General features: G+C 41.4%; 1 protein-coding gene and 1 long non-coding RNA gene across 22 annotated transcripts in view, besides 2 other annotated features; one reads left to right on the top strand and one right to left on the bottom strand.

Annotated features, from left to right (window-relative positions):
• LOC124901389 (uncharacterized) overlaps nucleotides 1-13,581 on the bottom strand; it is a 96,627-nt gene extending 83,046 nt beyond the window's left edge. Inside the window, exon 1 of the long non-coding RNA XR_007059729.1 lies at nucleotides 13,506-13,581. This is a non-coding gene — a long non-coding RNA (uncharacterized LOC124901389). The remainder of the gene's footprint in view (nucleotides 1-13,505) is intronic.
• Nucleotides 13,159-13,588: a silencer, noted in NCBI's record as "silent region_17507". NCBI's record gives its function as "represses an Ori minimal core promoter by ATAC-STARR-seq in GM12878 lymphoblastoid cells {active_cell/tissue: GM12878}" and the evidence as "EXISTENCE:reporter gene assay evidence [ECO:0000049][PMID:35858748]".
• Nucleotides 13,337-17,159, top strand: part of MCM9 (minichromosome maintenance 9 homologous recombination repair factor) — a 121,705-nt gene continuing 117,882 nt past the window's right edge. For 9 of the 21 annotated variants that reach the window (NR_165493.1, NM_001378366.1, NM_001378364.1 and 6 more), the window contains exons 1-2: nucleotides 13,337-13,605; nucleotides 16,758-17,076. Coding sequence is in view for 19 of the 21 variants with exons in the window: in NM_001378366.1 (NP_001365295.1) it covers nucleotides 16,773-17,076 (304 nt within the window). In the remaining 2 variants the exon portion in view is untranslated. Of the gene's footprint in view, nucleotides 13,766-15,755; nucleotides 15,890-16,757; nucleotides 17,077-17,159 lie in introns of all 21 variants that reach the window. The other 12 variants (NR_165494.1, NM_001378359.1, NM_017696.3 and 9 more) reach the window with 3 other exon arrangements.
• Nucleotides 13,839-14,088: a silencer, noted in NCBI's record as "silent region_17506". NCBI's record gives its function as "represses an Ori minimal core promoter by ATAC-STARR-seq in GM12878 lymphoblastoid cells {active_cell/tissue: GM12878}" and the evidence as "EXISTENCE:reporter gene assay evidence [ECO:0000049][PMID:35858748]".

The following is a 17,159-nucleotide window of genomic DNA, read 5'->3' as shown; positions in this document are numbered from 1 at the left end:
AGCCTCCCAGTAGCTGGGACTACAGGCGCCCGCCACCATGCCCGGCTAATTTTTTTGTATTTTTAGTGAGATGGGGTTTCGCCGTGTTACCTGGATGGTGTCGATATCCTGACCTCGTTATCCGTCTGCCTCTGCCTCCCAAAGTGCTGGGATTACAGGCGTGAGCCACTGTGCCCGGCTGTAGTTTTCTTTTTTTGTTATGTCCTTTCCTAGTTTTGGTATCAGGATGATACCAGCTTCCTAGAATGATTTAGGAAGGGGCCAGACGCCATGGCACATGCCTGTAATCCCAGCAATTTGGGAGGTCATCGCGGGTGGATTGCTTGAGCTTAGGAGTTTGAGACCAACCTGGGCAACATAGTGAAACCCTGTCTTTACCAAAAACACAAAAAACTAGCCGGGCATGGTGGTGCGCACCTGTGGTCCCAGCTACTTGGGAGGCTGAAACAGGAGGGTCACTTGAGCCTGGGAGGTGGAGGTTGCAGTGAGCTGAGATTGCACCACTGCACTCCAGCCCAGACAACAGAGTGAGACCCCATCTCCAAAAAAAAAAAAAAGAGGGAAGAGAAAAGAGAGAATGATTTACAGAGAATTCCCTCTTTCTTTATCTTTTGGAAAAGTTTCAGTAACATTGGTACCAATTCTTTGAATGCCTGATAGAATTCAGCTGTGAATCCATCTGGTCCTGGACTTTTTTTCATTAGTAAATTTTTGTATTACTGTTTCAATCTCACTACTTGTTATTGGTCTGTTCAGAGTTTCTATTTCTTCCTGATTTAATCTAGGAGGATTGTATATATCCAGGGATTTATTCATCACCTCTAGATTTTCTAGTTTGTGCAAATAAAGGCGTTCATAGTAGCCTTGGATGATCTTTTGCATTTCTGTGATATCAGGTGCAATATCACCCATTTTGTTTCTAATTGAGCTTATTTGGATCTCTCTTCTTGTTTATCTCGCTAATGGTCTAACCTTTTTTAATCTTTTCAAAGAACCAGCTTTTTAATTTATCTTTTGTCATTTTTTGTTTCAATTTCATTTAATTCTGCTCTGATCTTTGTTATTTCTTTCCTTCTGCTTGGTTTGGGTTTGGTTTGTTCTCGTTTCTCTAGCTCCTTGAGGTATGACCTTAGATTGTCTATTTGTGCTTTTTCAGACTTTTTGATGTAGGTATATAATGCTATGAACTTTTCTCTTAGCACTGCTTTTGTTGTATCCCAGAGGTTTTGATAAGTTTTGTCACTATTATCACTGAGTTCAAAAACTTTTAATTTCCACCTTGATTTCATTGTTGGCTCAGGGGTCATCCAGGAGCAGATATTTAATTTCCATGTATTGGTATAGTTTTGAGGGTTCCTTTTGGAGTTAACTTATAATTTTATTCCACTGTGGTTTGAGAGGGCACTTGATATAATTTTGATTTTCTTACATTAATTGAGACTTGTTTTTGTGGCCTATCATACGGTCTATCTTGGAGAATGTTCTATGTGCTGATGAAAAGAAGTATATTCTGCAGTTGTTGGGTAGAATGTTCTGTAAATATCTGTTAAGTCCATTTGTTCTAGGGTAGAGTTTAAATCCATTAGACTTTCTGTCTTGATGACCTGTCTAGTGCTATCAGTGGAGTATTAAAGTCCCCCACTATTATTGTGTTGCCACCTATCTCATTTCTTAGGTCTAGTAATAATTGTTTTATAAATTTGGGAGATCCAGTGTTAGGTTCATATATATTTAAGATTGTGATATTTTCCTGTTGGATTGATCCTTTTATCATTATATAATGCCCTCTTTGTCTTTTTTAACTGTTGTTGCTTTTGATATAAGAATAGCTACTCCTGCTTGCTTTTGGCATCCATTTGCATGGAATTTTTTTTTTTTTTTTGAGATGGAATCTCGCACTACCACTTAGGCTGAAGTGCAGTGGTGTGATCTCTGCTCACTGCAAGCTCTGCCTCCCGTGTTCACACCATTCTCCTGCCTCAGCATCCCGAGTAGCTAGGACTACAGGTGCCCACCACCATGCCCGGCTAACTTGTTGTATTTTTAGTACAGACGGAGTGTCACCGTGTTAGCCAGGATGGTCTCAATCTCCTGACCTCATGATCTGCCCGCCTCAGCCTCCCAAAGTGCTGGGATTATAGGTGTGAGCCACTGCGCCCGGCATGGAGTATCTTTTTCTACCCCTTTACCTTAAGTTTATGTGAGTCTTTATGTGTTAGGCGAGTCTCTTGAAGATAGCATTCTGCCATTCTATATTTTTAAATGGAACATTTAGACCATTTACATTCAACGTTAGTACTGAGGTATGGGGTACTGTTTTATTCATCATGCTAGTTGTTGCCTGAATACCTTGGGTTTTTTTTTTTATTGTGTTATTGTTTTATAGGCCCTGTGAGATTTATGCTTTAAGGAGATTCTATTTTGGTGTGTTTTGAGTTTTGTTTCAAGATTTAGAGCTCCTTTTAGCAGTTCTTGTAGTCCTGGCTTACTAGTGGAAAATTCTCTTAGCATTTGTTTGCCTGAAAAAGACTTTATCTGTCCTTCATTTATGAAGTTGTTTTGCTGGATACAAAATTCTTGGCTGGCAATTATTTTCTTTTAGGAGGCTAAAGATAGGACCCCAATCCCTTCTGTCTCGTAGAGTTTCACTAAGAAATCTGCAGTTAATCTGATAGGTTTTCCTTTACAGTTTACCTGATGCTTTTGCCTTACAGCTCTTAAGATTCTTTCCTTTATCTTGACTTTAGATAACCTGATGACTATGTGCCTAGGTGATGATGATCTTTTAGTGATAAATTTCCCAGGTGTTCTTTGAGCTTCTTGTATTTGGGTGTCTAGATCTTTAGTGAGGCCATGAAAGTTTTCCTTGATTATTCCCTCAAATAAGTTTTCCAAACTTTTGGATTTCTCTTCTTCCTCAGGAATGCCAATTATTCTTAGGTTTGGCCATTTAACATAATCCCAAATTTCTTGAGGCTTTGTTCATTTTTTAAGATTCATTTTTTTCCTTTGTCTTTGTCAATTGAGTTAATTTGAGAGTCTTTTCTTTGAGCTCTGAAGTCCTTTCTTCTACTTGTTCTAGGCTATTGTTGACACTTTCCAGTGAACTTTGTATTTCTCTAAGAGTGTCTTTCATTTCCAGAAGTTGTGATTGTTTTTTCTTTCTAATATCTATTTCTCTGGAGATTTTTTCATTCATATCCTGTATTTTTGTTTTTATTTCATTAAGTTGGTTTTCACCTTTCTCTGGTGTCTCCTTCAGTAGCTTAATAATCAACCTAAATTAATTATGTGGCAATTAAGAGATTTCTTCTTCGTTTGAATCCATTGCTGGGGAATTAGTGTGGCCTTTTGGGGGTGATATGAAACTTAGTTTTGTCCTATTACCCAAATTGTTTCTCTGATTCCTTCTCATTTGGGTAGACTATTTTAGTGGAAAAATCTGGAACTCAAAAACTGCTGTTCGGATTCTTTTGTCCCATGCAGTGATCCCTTGATGTGGTGCATTCTGCCTTCCTGGATGGGGCTTCCTTGGAGCCTGATTGCAGTGATTGTTATTGCCCTTCTAGGTCTAGCCACCCAGCAGGGCTATCAGGCTTCAGACTGGTGCTAGAAAATGTCTATAAAGAGTCCTGTGATGTGACTTATTATTGGTCTGTTCAGGTTTTCGATTTCTTCATGGCTCAATATTGGTAGGTTGTATGTGTTTAAGAATTTATCCATTTCTTCTAGATCTTCTAAGTTGTTGGTGTAAAGTTGCTCATAGAAGCCACAAATAAGCCTCTGAATTTTTGCAGTATTAGTTGTAATGTCTCCTTTTTCATCTCTGATTTTGTTTATTTGGCTCTTCTCTTGTTTTTTCTTGGACTGGGTAAAGGTTTGTCAATTTTATGTTTTCAAAAGACAAACTTTTAGTTTTGTTGATCATTTGTACTGTTTTGTTTGTTTCAATTTTATTTATTTCTGCTCTGATTTTTATTATTTCTTGTCTTCTACTAATTTTGGGTTTGAGGGCTCTTGCTTTTCTAGTTCCTTAAGATGCACTGCTAGGTTATTTAAAGCTTTTCTTCTTTTTTGATGTAGGCACTTACAGCTATAAACTTCCCTCTTAGTACTACTTTCACAGCATTCCATAAGTTTTGGTATGTTGTGTTACATTGTCATTTGTTACAAGAAGTTTTCCAGTTTTCTTAGTTTCTTCATTGAACCCCTGGTCATTCAGCACCATAGTGTTTAATTTCTATGTGTCTGTATAGTTTCCAAAATTCCTCTTGTTGTTATTGATTTCTTGTTTTATTCCATTGTGGTCAGAGAAGATGCTTGATACTATTTCAATTTTTGAAAATGTTTTAAGACTTGCTTTGTTACCTAACATATGGTCTATTCTTGAGAATAATCCGTGTGCTGAGGAAAAGAATGTGTATGTATTTATAATTGTTATATCCCCTTTCTGAATTGACCCTTTATCATTATATAGTGATCTTTTTGTCTCTTCTTATAGTTTTTGTCTTGAAATCTATTTTATCTTATATAAGTATAGCTAGTCCTGCTCTTTTTTGGTTTCCATTGCCTGGAATATCTTTTTTCCATTCCTTTGTTTTTAGTTTATGTGTGTCTTTATAGGTGGATTGTGTTTATTGTAGGCAATAGATCTTTGGGCTTATCTTTTTATCTGTTTAACTAATCTATGTCTTTTGATTGGAGAGTTTAGTCCATTTGCATGTAATGTTGTTATTGGTAAGTAAGGTCTTACTCCTGCCATTTTGTTATTTGTTTTCTGGTTGTTTTGTGGTCTTCTCTTTCTTTCCACCTTCCTTCCTGTCTTCCTTTCAGTGAAGGTGATTTTCCCTAGTGGTATGATTTAATTTCTTGCTTTTTATTATTTACATATCTACTAATTTTTTTATTCAAAGTTATGAGGCTTGCAAATACTATAACACATTAAATTTAGCTGATAGCAATTTAACACTGTTTGCATAAACTAATAAAAAACTCCAAACCTTAGCTTTGTCTCCCCACTTTTTAACTTTTTGTTGTTTCTATTTATATCTTATTGTACTTTCTATGTCTTGAAAGTTGTTGTACTTATTTTTTATTGGATCATCCTTTAGCCTTTTTACTTAAGAGTAGTTTACACACAAGAATCACAGTGTTATAATCTGTGTTCTTCTGTGTACTGATTACTACCAGTCAGTTCTGTACCTTCAAATGATTTCTTATTGCTCATTATAATCCTTTTTTTTTTTTTTGGTTTTTTTTTTTTGAGACAGAGTCTCTTTCTGTCACCTAGGCTAGAGTACAGTGGCATGATCTTGGCTCACTGCAACCTCTGCCTCCCAGGTTCAAGTGATTCTCATGCCTCAGACTCCTGAGTATCTGGGATTACAGGTGTGTTCCACCATGCCCAGCTAATTTTTGTATTTTTAGTAGAGACAGGGTTTCACCATATTGGCCAGGCTGGTCTTGAACTCCTGACCTCAAATGATCCACTCATCTTGGCCTCCCAAAATGCTGGCACTACAGGCGAACATCCTTCTATTTCTTTTTCTAAAATTTTTCTTATTTTTTGAGACGAACTCTCTCTCTCTTGCCAAGCTGGAGTGGTGCAGTGGCATGATCTTGGCTCACTGCAGCCTCTGCCTGCTGGGTTCAAGTGATTCTCCTGCCTCAGCCTCCCGAGTAGCTGGGTCTACAGGCGGGCACCACTACACCTGGCTAATTTTTGTATTTTTAGTAGAGTTGGGGTTTTACCACATTGGTCAGGCAGGTCTCGAACTCCTGACCTCAAGTGATCCACTCACCTTGGCCTCCCAGAGTGCTGGGATTACAGGTGTGAGCCACCGTGCCTAGCCCATCCTTTTATTTCTGATTGGAGAATTCCCTTTAGCATGTTTTTGTAGGACAGGTCTGGTGTTGATGAAATCCCTCAGACTTTGGGAATGTCTTTATTTCTCCTTCAGGTTTGAAGGATATTTTCACAGGATATAGTATTCTAGGATAAAAGATTTTGTCCTTCAGCTCTTTAACTATGTCATGACACTCTCACCTGGCCTGTAAGCTTTCCACTGAAACATCTGCTGCCAGATGTATTGGAGCTCCATTGTATGCTATTTGTTTCATTTCTCTTGCTGCTTTTAAGATTATTTCTTTATCCTTGACTTTTGGGAGTATGATTACTAAATGCCTTGAGGTGGTCTTCTTTAGATTAAATCTGCTTCTGTAACATTCTTGTACTTGGATATGGATATCTTTCTCTAGATTTGGGAAGTTCTCTGTTATTATCCCTTTGAATAAACTTTTTGCCCCTCTCTTTCTCTACTTCCCTTCAAGGCCAATAACTTAGATTTGTCCTTTTGAGGCTATTTTCTTGATCTTGTAGGTATGCTACATTCTTTTTATGCTTTTTTCTTCTTTTTTATTTTGTCTCCTCTGACTGTCTCTTTTGAAATAGCCTGTATTCAAGCTAATTCATTCTTCTGCTTAATCATTTCTGGTATTAAAAGACTCTGATGCATTCTTTGGTATGTAAATTGCATTTTTCAACTCAAGAATTTTCTGCTTGATTCTTTTTAATTATCTCAATCTCTTCATTAAATTTATCTGACAGAATTCTTAATTCTTTCTCTGTGTGATCTTTAATTTCTTTGCATTTCCTCAAAATAGCTATTTTGAATTCTCTTTCTGAAAGGTTACATAGCTGTTTCTCTAGGATTGGTCCCTGGTACCTTATTTTATTTTATTTTATTTAGATGGAGTCTCACTGTGTTGCCAGGCTGGAGTGGAGTGGTGTGATCTTGGCTCACTGCAACCTCCACCTCCCAGGTTCAAGCGATTCTCCTGCCTCAGCCTCCCAAGTAGCTAGGACTACAGGTGTGCGCCACCAGGCCCAGCTAATTTTTGTATTTTTAATAGAGATGGGGTTTCACCATGTTGTCCAGGATGGTGTCGATCTCTTGACCTTGTGATCTGCCCACCTTGGCCTCCCAAAATGCTGGGATTACAGGCGTGAGCCACTGCGCCCAGCCGGTCCATGGTACTTTATTTAGTTCATTTAGTGAAGTCATGTTTTCCAGGATGGGCTTGATCCTTGTGGATGTTTGTCAGTGTCTGAACATTAAAGAATTAGGTATTTATTGTTGTCTTTGCAGTATGGGTTGTTTGCACCCATTCTTGTGAAGGCTTTTCAGATACTTGAAAGGACTTGGGTGTTGTGATCTACGCTGTATCTGCATTAGGGGACACTCCAAGCCCAGTAATGTTATAGTTCTTGCAAACTCACAGAAATACCAACTTGGTGGTCTCAATTAGATCCGGAAGAATTCTCTGGACTACCAGACAGACTCTCATTCTTTTACCTTACTATCTCCCAAACAAACAGAGTCTCCTTTCCCTCTCTCTCTCTCTCTGTTCTGAGCTGCTTGGAGCTGGAGAAGGGGTGACACAAGCACCCTTGTGGCCACAACCACTGGGATTATGCTGGGTTAGGCCTGAAGCCAGCACAGCACTGGGGCTTGGCCAAGGCCTGCAGTAACCACTACCTGGCTACTGCCTATGTTTGCTCAAGGTCCTAGGGCTCTACAATTAGCAGTAGGTGAAGCCAGCCAGGCTTGCATCCTTCCCTTCAGGGTATCGACAAGTTCCCTCAAGCCCCAGGTGGGTCCAGAGATCCTGTCCCTGAGCCAGGGACTGGAGTGAAAAACCCTAGAAATCTACCTCGAGTGATATTGTACCGGAGCTGTGCTGGCACTCAAACCACAAGATGCAGTTCCTCTCACTCTTCCCTCTCCTTTCCACAGGCAAAGGAGCCTCACTCTGTGGCTACCACCACTACATTCCCACAGGTAGTACTGCCAGGCTACCACCAATGTTCACCTATGGCCAAAGGTCTCCTCAGTCAGCTTGCAGTGAATGCTGACAGGCCTGAGGTTAACCCTTCAGGGCAGTGGGCTCTCCTCTGCCTGCTGGATTCAAGTGATTCTCCTGCCTCTGGCTTAGGGCGGGTCCGGAAATATCATCCAAGAGTCAAATCCTGGAACTGAGGACCCTAAAAGCCCACTTGGTGCTCTACCCTGCTATGGCCAACCTGGTACCTAAAGTACAAGACAAAGTCCCATTTACTTTTCCCTCTGCATTTCTCAGAAGGAGTCTCTCATCAGAGCCACCACAGCTGGGAAAGTGGTAGATCTCACCTGAAACTGGCATGTCTGAGTCTCACTCAAGGCCCACAGCATTCTACTTGGGTATTGCTACTGGTTATTCAGGGCCCAAGGGCTCTTTAGTTTGCAGGTGATGGGTCCTACCAGGACTGGGTCCTTCCCTTCAAGGCAGTGGGTTCCCTCTTGGTCCTGTGTGGTCTAGAAATGTTATCCAGGAGCTACAGCCTGGAAAAGAGGCCTAATGACTCTGCCTGGTGACCTATCCTACTGTAGCTGAGCTGGTATCCAAGATGTAAGACAGGCTCCTCTTTATTCTTCCCTCTCCTCTCCTCAAGTGGAAGGAAGGGGTATCTTTTGGAGCCACAGAATGTGCAGTCTGCAATTGGGGAAACAGTGGTGCAAGCACTCTCTTAGCTGCCCTGGCTGCTGTCTCAGTGGGTCATGTGTCCCCACAACTCCAATGGCTCTGAGCCCAGCTCTGTACTAGGACTTGCTAAGAGTTGCAGTCCTTGTGATCAAGACTGCTTTTCAAGTTTATATAGGGCCTCAGAGTACTTTAATCATGGTGGTGAGGTTTGCCAGAACTCAAGTTCTGACTTCTGGGATGGGTGATTCCCCTCTGGCTAGTGCTGGTTTATACACTCCTTCTGCGGGTGGGCTTCAGCTGAGTGCAGCCTGATTTTGCTTTCCACTGTCACAGGGAAGCACTCACTTCAACGTAAAGTCCCATAATCTCTATGCTATCCCTCTCCCAAGTGCACAGATTCTCTCTCCACACCATGTGGACACTGCCCAGGTATGGGGGAGGGATGCATCTGCAATTCAAGACTGTCTTTCTTACCCTCTTCATTGATCTTTTAGTGATATGAAGTTAAAACCAGGTACTGTGAGTGCTCATCTGATTTTTGGTTCTTATAACTGTGTTCTTTGTGTAGACAGTTGTTAAGTTTGGTGTTCCTAAGGGGTGGAGGGGGAATGATTGGTAGAGCCTTGTTTTTAGCCATTTGCTCCACCCTTTAAATACTCTTCTTAGGAAGCCAAATCTATGCAGAATGAATCTGTAAATTCAGTAATGATCCTCTTAACACTGACTGAGTTTAAAGAGGACAGTTCTTTTCTGAGGAGGGGAGTGGAATCTATTAGAGAGCATGGCTTGAGTTTTTGTCAACCTCATGGACTATTCTCACAATAAAAACTGTAAAAATAAATTAAAGGGAGAAGTTACAAAATTAAAATCATGTAAAAAGGATGAGTTCATGTCCTTTGCAGGGACATGGATGAAGCTGGAAACCATCATTCTCAGCAAACTAACACAAGAACAGAAAACCAAACACCGCATGTTCTCACTCATACGTGGGATTTGAACAACGAGAACACATGGTCATAGGGAGGAGAACATCACACACTGGGGCCTGTCAGGGGATGTGGAGCTAGGGGAGGGATAGCATTAGAAGAAGTACCTAATGTAGATGACGGGTTGATGGGTGCAGCAAACTACCATGGCACATGTATACCTATGTAACAAACCTGCATGTTCTGCACATGTATCCCAGAACTTAAAGTATAATAAAAACATTGATGTATGTTAGCAAATTCAACAATATATAAAAAAGATGAATACATCATTACCAAATGGAGATTATTTCAGAAACGCGCAGTTGATCTAACATTCATGTATCAATTGATGTATTAGTTTCCCAGGGCTGCCATAACAAAGTACCACCAACTGAATGGCTCAGAACAAGCAAAATTTACTGTCTCACAGTTCTGGAGGCCAGAAGTACAAAATCCAAATATCAACAGGGAAATCCTCCTCCTGAAGGTGCTAGGGAGGGATCTGTCCAGGTCTCTCTCTTAGCTTCTGGTAATTTCAGGTGTTCCTTGGCTTGTAGATGGCCATCTTTTCTGTGTCTCTTCATGTGGTATTCTTGCTGTGTGTGTATCTGTGCCCAAATTTTCCTTTTTATAAGCTTTTTCTTTTTTCTTTTGAGACGGAGTCTTGCCCTGTCACCAGGCTACAGTGCAGTGGCGTGACCTTGGCTCACTGCAACCTCCACCTCCTGGGTTCAAGCAATTTTCCTGCCTCAGCCTCCCAAGTAGCTGGGACTACAGGCGCATGCCACCACACCCAGCTAATTTTTTTTTGTATTTTTAGTAGAGACGGTGTTCCACCATGTTGGCCGGGATGGTCTCAATCTCTTGACCTCATGATCCGCCCGCCTCGGCCTCCCAAAGTGCTGGGATTACAGGCGTGAGCCACTGTGCCCAGCCATAAAATTTATCCTTTTTATAAGGACACAAGTCATATTGGATTACTGCCCATCCTAATTCCTAATATCTCAATTACCTCTATAAAGACCTTATTTCCAAACAAGTGACATTTAAAGGGACTGGGGATTATAACTTCAATATATCTTTTTTGGAGGGACACAATTCAATCTATATATAAAATATGAAACTAAAAGAAAAAAAAAGCAAAGTGATCATTTCCACACATGTAGAAAAGCCTTAATGAAATCCAACATTCATTCTTGATAAAAGTGCTCAAATCTTCCTACATCTTAATAAAGGGCATCTACAAAAAACCCTGGGCTAACATCCATATTTAAGAGTAAAAGACTGATAACTTTCCCTCTAAGATCAGAAGCAAAGAAAGGATGTCTGGTCTCATCACTTTTATCCAACACCGTACTCAAGCTTCTAGTCAGTGCAAAAAGACAAGAAAAAGAAATAAAAGGCCTCCAGAATAGAAAGGAAGTAAAACTGTCTTTATTCATAGATAACAAATCCTGAATATATAGAAAATCTAGCAAAATCCACAAGAAAAGCTGTTAGAACTCATAAGTGGTTTTTACAAAATTGCAAATACAAGATTAATGTTAAAAATTCAATTATACCAGCCTGGGCAACATAGTGAGACCCTATCTCTACAAAAAAATACCAAAATATTAGCCAGGTGTGGTGGCACAGACCTATAATTCCAATGTATTAGTCTGTTTTCACACTGCTATAAAAAACTACCTGAGACTGGGCAATTTATGACAAAAAGAGGTTTAATTGACTCACAGTTCTGCAGGCTTAATAGAAAGCATGACTAGGAGGCCTCGGGAAACTTATATTCATGGCAGATGGCAAAGGGGAAGCAAGCACGTCTTACCATAGCAGAGCGGGAGAGAGAGGGAGAATGAGTGAGGGGGAACTGCCAGAGAGAGAGAATGAGTGAGGGGGAAGTGCCAGACACTTTCAAAAAACCTGATCTCATGAGAACTCACTATCATGAGAAGAGCAAGGGGGAAGTTCGCCCCATGATTCAATCACCTCCCACCAGACTCCTGGGGATTACAATTTAAGGTGAGATTTGGGTGGGGACACACAGCCAAACCATATCACCCAGCTACTTAGGGGGCTGAGGTAGGAGGATTGCTTGAACCTGGCAGACAGAGGTTGCAGTGGGCCATGATCACACCACTGCACTCCAGCCTGAGCAACAGAGCAAGAACCTGTAACAACAACAACAAAACCCCCAATCATATTTTTACACACTATCTGACATAGTTTGAGTATTTCTCCCTTCCAAATCTCATCTTAAAATCTGATCCCAAGTGTGGGGCCTAGTTGGGGGTGTCTGGGTCACAGGGGCAGATCCTTCAGGAAAACTTAGTGCTGCCATTGCATAATGAGTTCTCATTCTGTTAGTTGCCTCCAGAGCTGATTGTTAAAAAGAGCCTGACCACTACCTCCCCTTTCTCTTGCTTCTCTTCTGGCCATGTGATCTGCACAGGCAGCCTCCCCTTCACTGAGTGGAAGCAGCCTGAAGCCCTCACCAGAAGCAGCCTGCAGAAGTGTGAGCCAAATAAACCTCTTTTATTTGTAAATTATTCAGTCTCAGGCATTCCTTTTTAGCAACACAGACTAAGACACTATCAAAGAACAACTGAAAATTTAAAATGTCATTTACATAATATCAAGAAGTATATTTTTCCCCCATCCTTAGATTTATGGATAAATCTGACATAGGGTGATATGGTTTGGCTGTGTCCCTGCCCAAACCTCATCTTGAACTGTAGTTACCATAATCCCCAGGTGTTGTGGGAGGGACCCGGTGGGAGGTAACTGAATCATGGGGGTGGTTATTCCCATGCTGTTCTCTGATAGTGAGTGAGGTATCACAAGATCTGATGGTTTTCTAAGGGGCTTTTCCCTCCTTGCTCCTCACTTCTCCTTCCTGCAGCCCTGTGAAGAAGGAGGTTTGCTCCCGCTTCTGCCATGATTTTAAGTTTCCTGAAGTCTCCCCAGCCATGCTGAACTGTAAGTCAATTAAACGTCTTTCCTTTATAAATTACTCAGTCCCAGGTATGTCTTTATTAGCACTGTGAAAATGGACTATATAAGACTAGACCTGACAAAAGATCAAAACATTTGCTGAGTGAAATAACACCTAAATAAATGAAGAGGCTTACTTTAAGGGTCATTACTAAATATTGTTAACATGTAAATTATTCTTACATGGATCTATAGACGAAATGTAACCAATCACAATCCCAACTTTTTAAAGTGACAAGCTGATTTTAACATTCATATGAAAACCCAAGGGACTAGATGAGCCAGAACATTTTTGAAAAATAACAAAAAATTGGAGGCCAAACACGATCTGATTTTAAGACTCTTACGAATCTACAGGAATCAAGACAATGTGGTATTTTTGTAGAGAGAAATATAATAAATTGTCGGAACAGAATAGAAAGTCTAAGAATAGACCCACAACTGATGCTTTAGGGACAACTGATTTTAAACATAGGTGCAAAAGCTATTCAGTGAGAAAAAGAAAGCTCTCTAAACAAATGACACTATTCACATACAAAAAAATGACCTAAGATCCATACTTTGCACCACAGACAAAAATTAGCTCTAATTGGATCACAGACCTCAATATAAAACCTAAAATTCTAAAACTTGTGTCAGAAAACACAGAAGAGATCCTCTGTGGCCTTGGGTTAGGCAAATTCCTTGGACAGACAAAAAACAAACCCTAAGATCCGATCTGAGCCGCCGCACAACCCTGCTCTGGCCACTTAGCCTGAGGTCACTGCTCGGGTCCCGCCCCTCTCCCCGCCCGGGACCCTCCTGGCTCCGCCCCAATCCGCCCGCTCCGCTCCACCCCGCCCCGCTGCCTCGTCTCCATCCGGAAGAGCCGCCGGGGCAGGGAAGTTGAGGCGGTGCGCGGCCCGGCGTCGGTCGAGAGCGCAGGCCCGGCAGAGCCGCAGGCGCTAGGCCGCCCGACACAGCCCGCGCGTCCCCGCGGCCGGTGGCGCCTCGAGCGGCCACGTGCACGCGCGCACTCCGCCTCACCAGCCTTCTTGCGCCGGAGACGAACCCGCTGCCTGGCTGGAGCTCTCTGGGCCCTTCGGCCTCGGGAGCAACGCGTTCCCGGCGACTTCTGACACAGCCAGTAAGTGATAGCCGCCTCCTCCTTTCGCGGTTATGTTTTTCTCCAGTTCGTCCCAAGTCTCGTTCCCGTCTCATTACTTCAAAAACTATTCAACTCCGGGACCGGACAGGCACGGGAGCTGCCCGGGAGAAGAGCCCCAGAAGTCTCAGAGACTGCCAAGGTGTTGTGGGGCAGGGGCTGCGTGCAAAGACCCTGTGAATTAGAAAGTTTGGAAAGCATGCCTCCAAAACCGAGCGACTCCACGTTTGCCAGGCGCCCCTGGGGCAGCCGAGCGGCCCGGAGGCGCGAAATGGCGCGCCCCCGCAGTGAGAGGGGCGGAGGGAGTGGGGCGGGGCCGAGGGCGCGCGTCCCGCCAGCCCGCGCGGAGGGGGCGGGGCTCCCGGCAGGTGCAGGCGGGCGGGGCGGGGCTGCCGCGATTCCCGGAGACAGCTGGGGGATGCCAGTGCAGTTAGGCACTCTCCTGTCTTCTTTTCGACGCTTCGCTGTGGTCAAGAGGACAAAGTAAAGCAAATGATTTTATTTTGACCCCAAATATTCAATAAGAAAAGGAAAGAGAACTTGAAAGTTGTGAAATGACCCTTCTCAAAACAAAAAGTCCCTCCAGTGTCTATCTGGGTGGGTAGTAGGTACGTTTATTGATTTAGCAAACTGCTGATAACACAGTTGATTAGTCAGTTTTGCATAGATGTTGAAAGGGAATGAATAACGATGGTCCATATAACCATAGAAATGCTAGCCTAACTAGGCAAAATTTAATCTGACCTTAATTTGAACGTTGAATTCTGCTGCTGCCCTTTTCCTGCCTTGTGTGGAGCTGTTTTTCAAATTGCTAAATTTGTGGCTCTAAACTTAATATGCTTTAATAGAATCATAGTGATTCTCTTGTAGCCACTGTTGGGAGTCCAGATTTTTTTTTTTTTTTTTTTGGGCAAAGTCCACATTGTGGAGATATTCCTTCCCAAGTGCTTTTTCTGCTTTACACTTGGCTGAATTTATATTGCTTAACCAAAAACAAATTACCGTGGAGGCCGTAATTTATTTCCACTCATTGTTTTGGATATACATTTACTCATTCTTACTCTCACTCTGGCCTCCTATAGTGGTCAGGATTCTTGACCTAACTGCTATATGTACTTCTTAAACGTTTCACACCTTGCGGAATAGTAGGTTCTCAGAGAAAGCAAAATATAGCAAATAGCGTGTATAACACGTACTTAGGATGATAAACTGTGAACTTTATAGCAGTCTCCTTTAATATTCGTATTTGTAGAGTCCAGTACAATAAATGTTGGACAAATGAAGTAAGTCAAATTTAAGTACACCTCTTCTCCAGTCCTCAATCTCTTTCCAAACGAAATAAGTGTTTCTCTCTTTTTTTTTTTTTTTGAGGCGGAGTCTCGCTCTGTGCCCGGGCTGGAGTGCAGTGGCGTGGTCTCGGCTCACTGCAAGCTCCGCCTCCCGGGTTCACGCCATTCTCCTGCCTCAGCCTCCTGAGTAGCTGGGACTTCAGGCACCTGCCACCACGCCCAGCTAATTTTTTTTGTATTTTTTTTTAGTAGAGAACGGGATTTCACCGTGTTAGCCAGGATGGTCTCGATCTCCTGACCTCGTGATCCACCTGCCTCGGCCTCCCAAAGTGCTGGGATTACAGGCGTGAGCCACTGCGCCCGGCCCCAAATAAGTGTTTCTTATTTGGACAGCTGGTTTCTAACTGTCCAGTGCTACTTCTGAGATCGTCACCTCATTTAAATTTAACCTCCCTCTCCTTTGACTCCTATTCATATTGCATTTTTGACCACTGGTAGTGCACTGTTTCGTTTTATTTGCCCCTTGGATTTCTGAGGACATAGAGAACCTTTTACTATACTTTTCATTTGCCAGCATAGTGCCTTGTACATGATAGATATTAGGAAATGGACATTGAATTGGGTTTATACATATGTAATTTGTTATCCGTCTGTATACATGAAACTAGAATGGGGATAGGTGCTTTTTATCTGTAGATACATACTTTTTAATAGAGTGCCAGGGGAATGAGATAAAGTAATGGTATATGCTGTATTTATTTTCAATAATACTTTTTTATTATTTGAAGACTCAGTGTTTTTTCACCTTCCTATGTTTATCTGTTTTCTTTGCATTGTTGACAGCTGTTTCTGCAGAACCCAGTAGATTTCCTACGGTAAGAAAGAGAAAGAAGGAAACAAATTCACTTCCAAGTATGAATTTCTAAGGACAGTCTGTTAATTATTCATGTCAGAACTGGCTGTCAGTCTGATTAATGGTATGTGTTTCAGTTACATAGCAGAATACACATGAGTGTGTGTGTATAACTAAAGAGAGAGAGAGCACACGAAAGAATGACACTGTGTTCATATAAACAAAAGCTAGAACCAGGACTCTTGCAAAGAACTCCACTGTTACTGACTTAAGCCAAAAGATATGTTTCAGATTTTATACTTGAGAGCAAATGTGTGTGTATGGAATGTGGCCTCTTACATATATTATGTAAAATAAATACCATTATATGTCATTTAATGATGGGGATACAGTCTGAGAAATTTGTCATTAGGTGATTTTGTCCTTGTGTGAACATCATAGAGTATATTTACACAAACCTAGATGATACAGCCTACTACACACCTAGGCTATATGGCATAGCCTGTTGCTCTTAGGCTATAAACCTGTACATCATATCATTGTACTGAATACTGTTCGCAGTTGTTGTAACACAATGGTATCTATGTATCTAAGCATAGAAAAGATACAATAAGGATACAGTATTGTAATCTTATGAGACCACTATTATAAGTGCAGTCCGGAAATGTTGTTAGGTGCATGCCTGTATATTAATGCAGGGTTAATATGAAGGAAATTTGGGGAAAAGATGGGAAATGCTTTGAACTATTTTGGATTTTGATAATCAGTACCAACATAGTTCTTTGACTTACATTTGACTTCACTCATTTTTGAAGTACATGTACTGTGACTGTAACAGATAATTCAGATTTCATTAAGATTTGAATTCAGATATTATTTTGTGATTATAGTATGACCCAAAGCCAGTGTGATTTATAACCAATCGTTTTTGTTAAATTGTGTGTACATCTTGAGTATCAAATATATAATATGATCCTTTTTTTTTTCTTTAGTTACCTAGATTCAAGATGAATAGCGATCAAGTTACACTGGTTGGTCAAGTGTTTGAGTCATATGTTTCGGAATACCATAAGAATGATATTCTTCTAATCTTGAAGGAAAGGGATGAAGATGCTCATTACCCAGTTGTGGTTAATGCCATGACTCTGTTTGAGACCAACATGGAAATCGGGGAATATTTCAACATGTTCCCCAGTGAAGTGCTTACAATTTTTGATAGTGCACTGCGAAGGTCAGCCTTGACAATTCTCCAGTCCCTTTCTCAGCCTGAGGCTGTTTCCATGAAACAGAATCTTCATGCCAGGATATCAGGTAAATCACTTAAGGATTTTACTGCCATGCTATCTTCTAGAAAGATTTTGAGAAAATATACTAGATTTAGAACACTAAGAAAT

The sequence above is a fragment of the Homo sapiens genome, chromosome 6 (genome assembly GCF_000001405.40).
Source record: "Homo sapiens chromosome 6, GRCh38.p14 Primary Assembly".
NCBI lineage: Eukaryota > Metazoa > Chordata > Mammalia > Primates > Hominidae > Homo > Homo sapiens.
The sequence above is the reverse complement of the archived record's forward strand: the minus strand, read 5'-3'. Positions and strand labels throughout refer to the sequence as shown.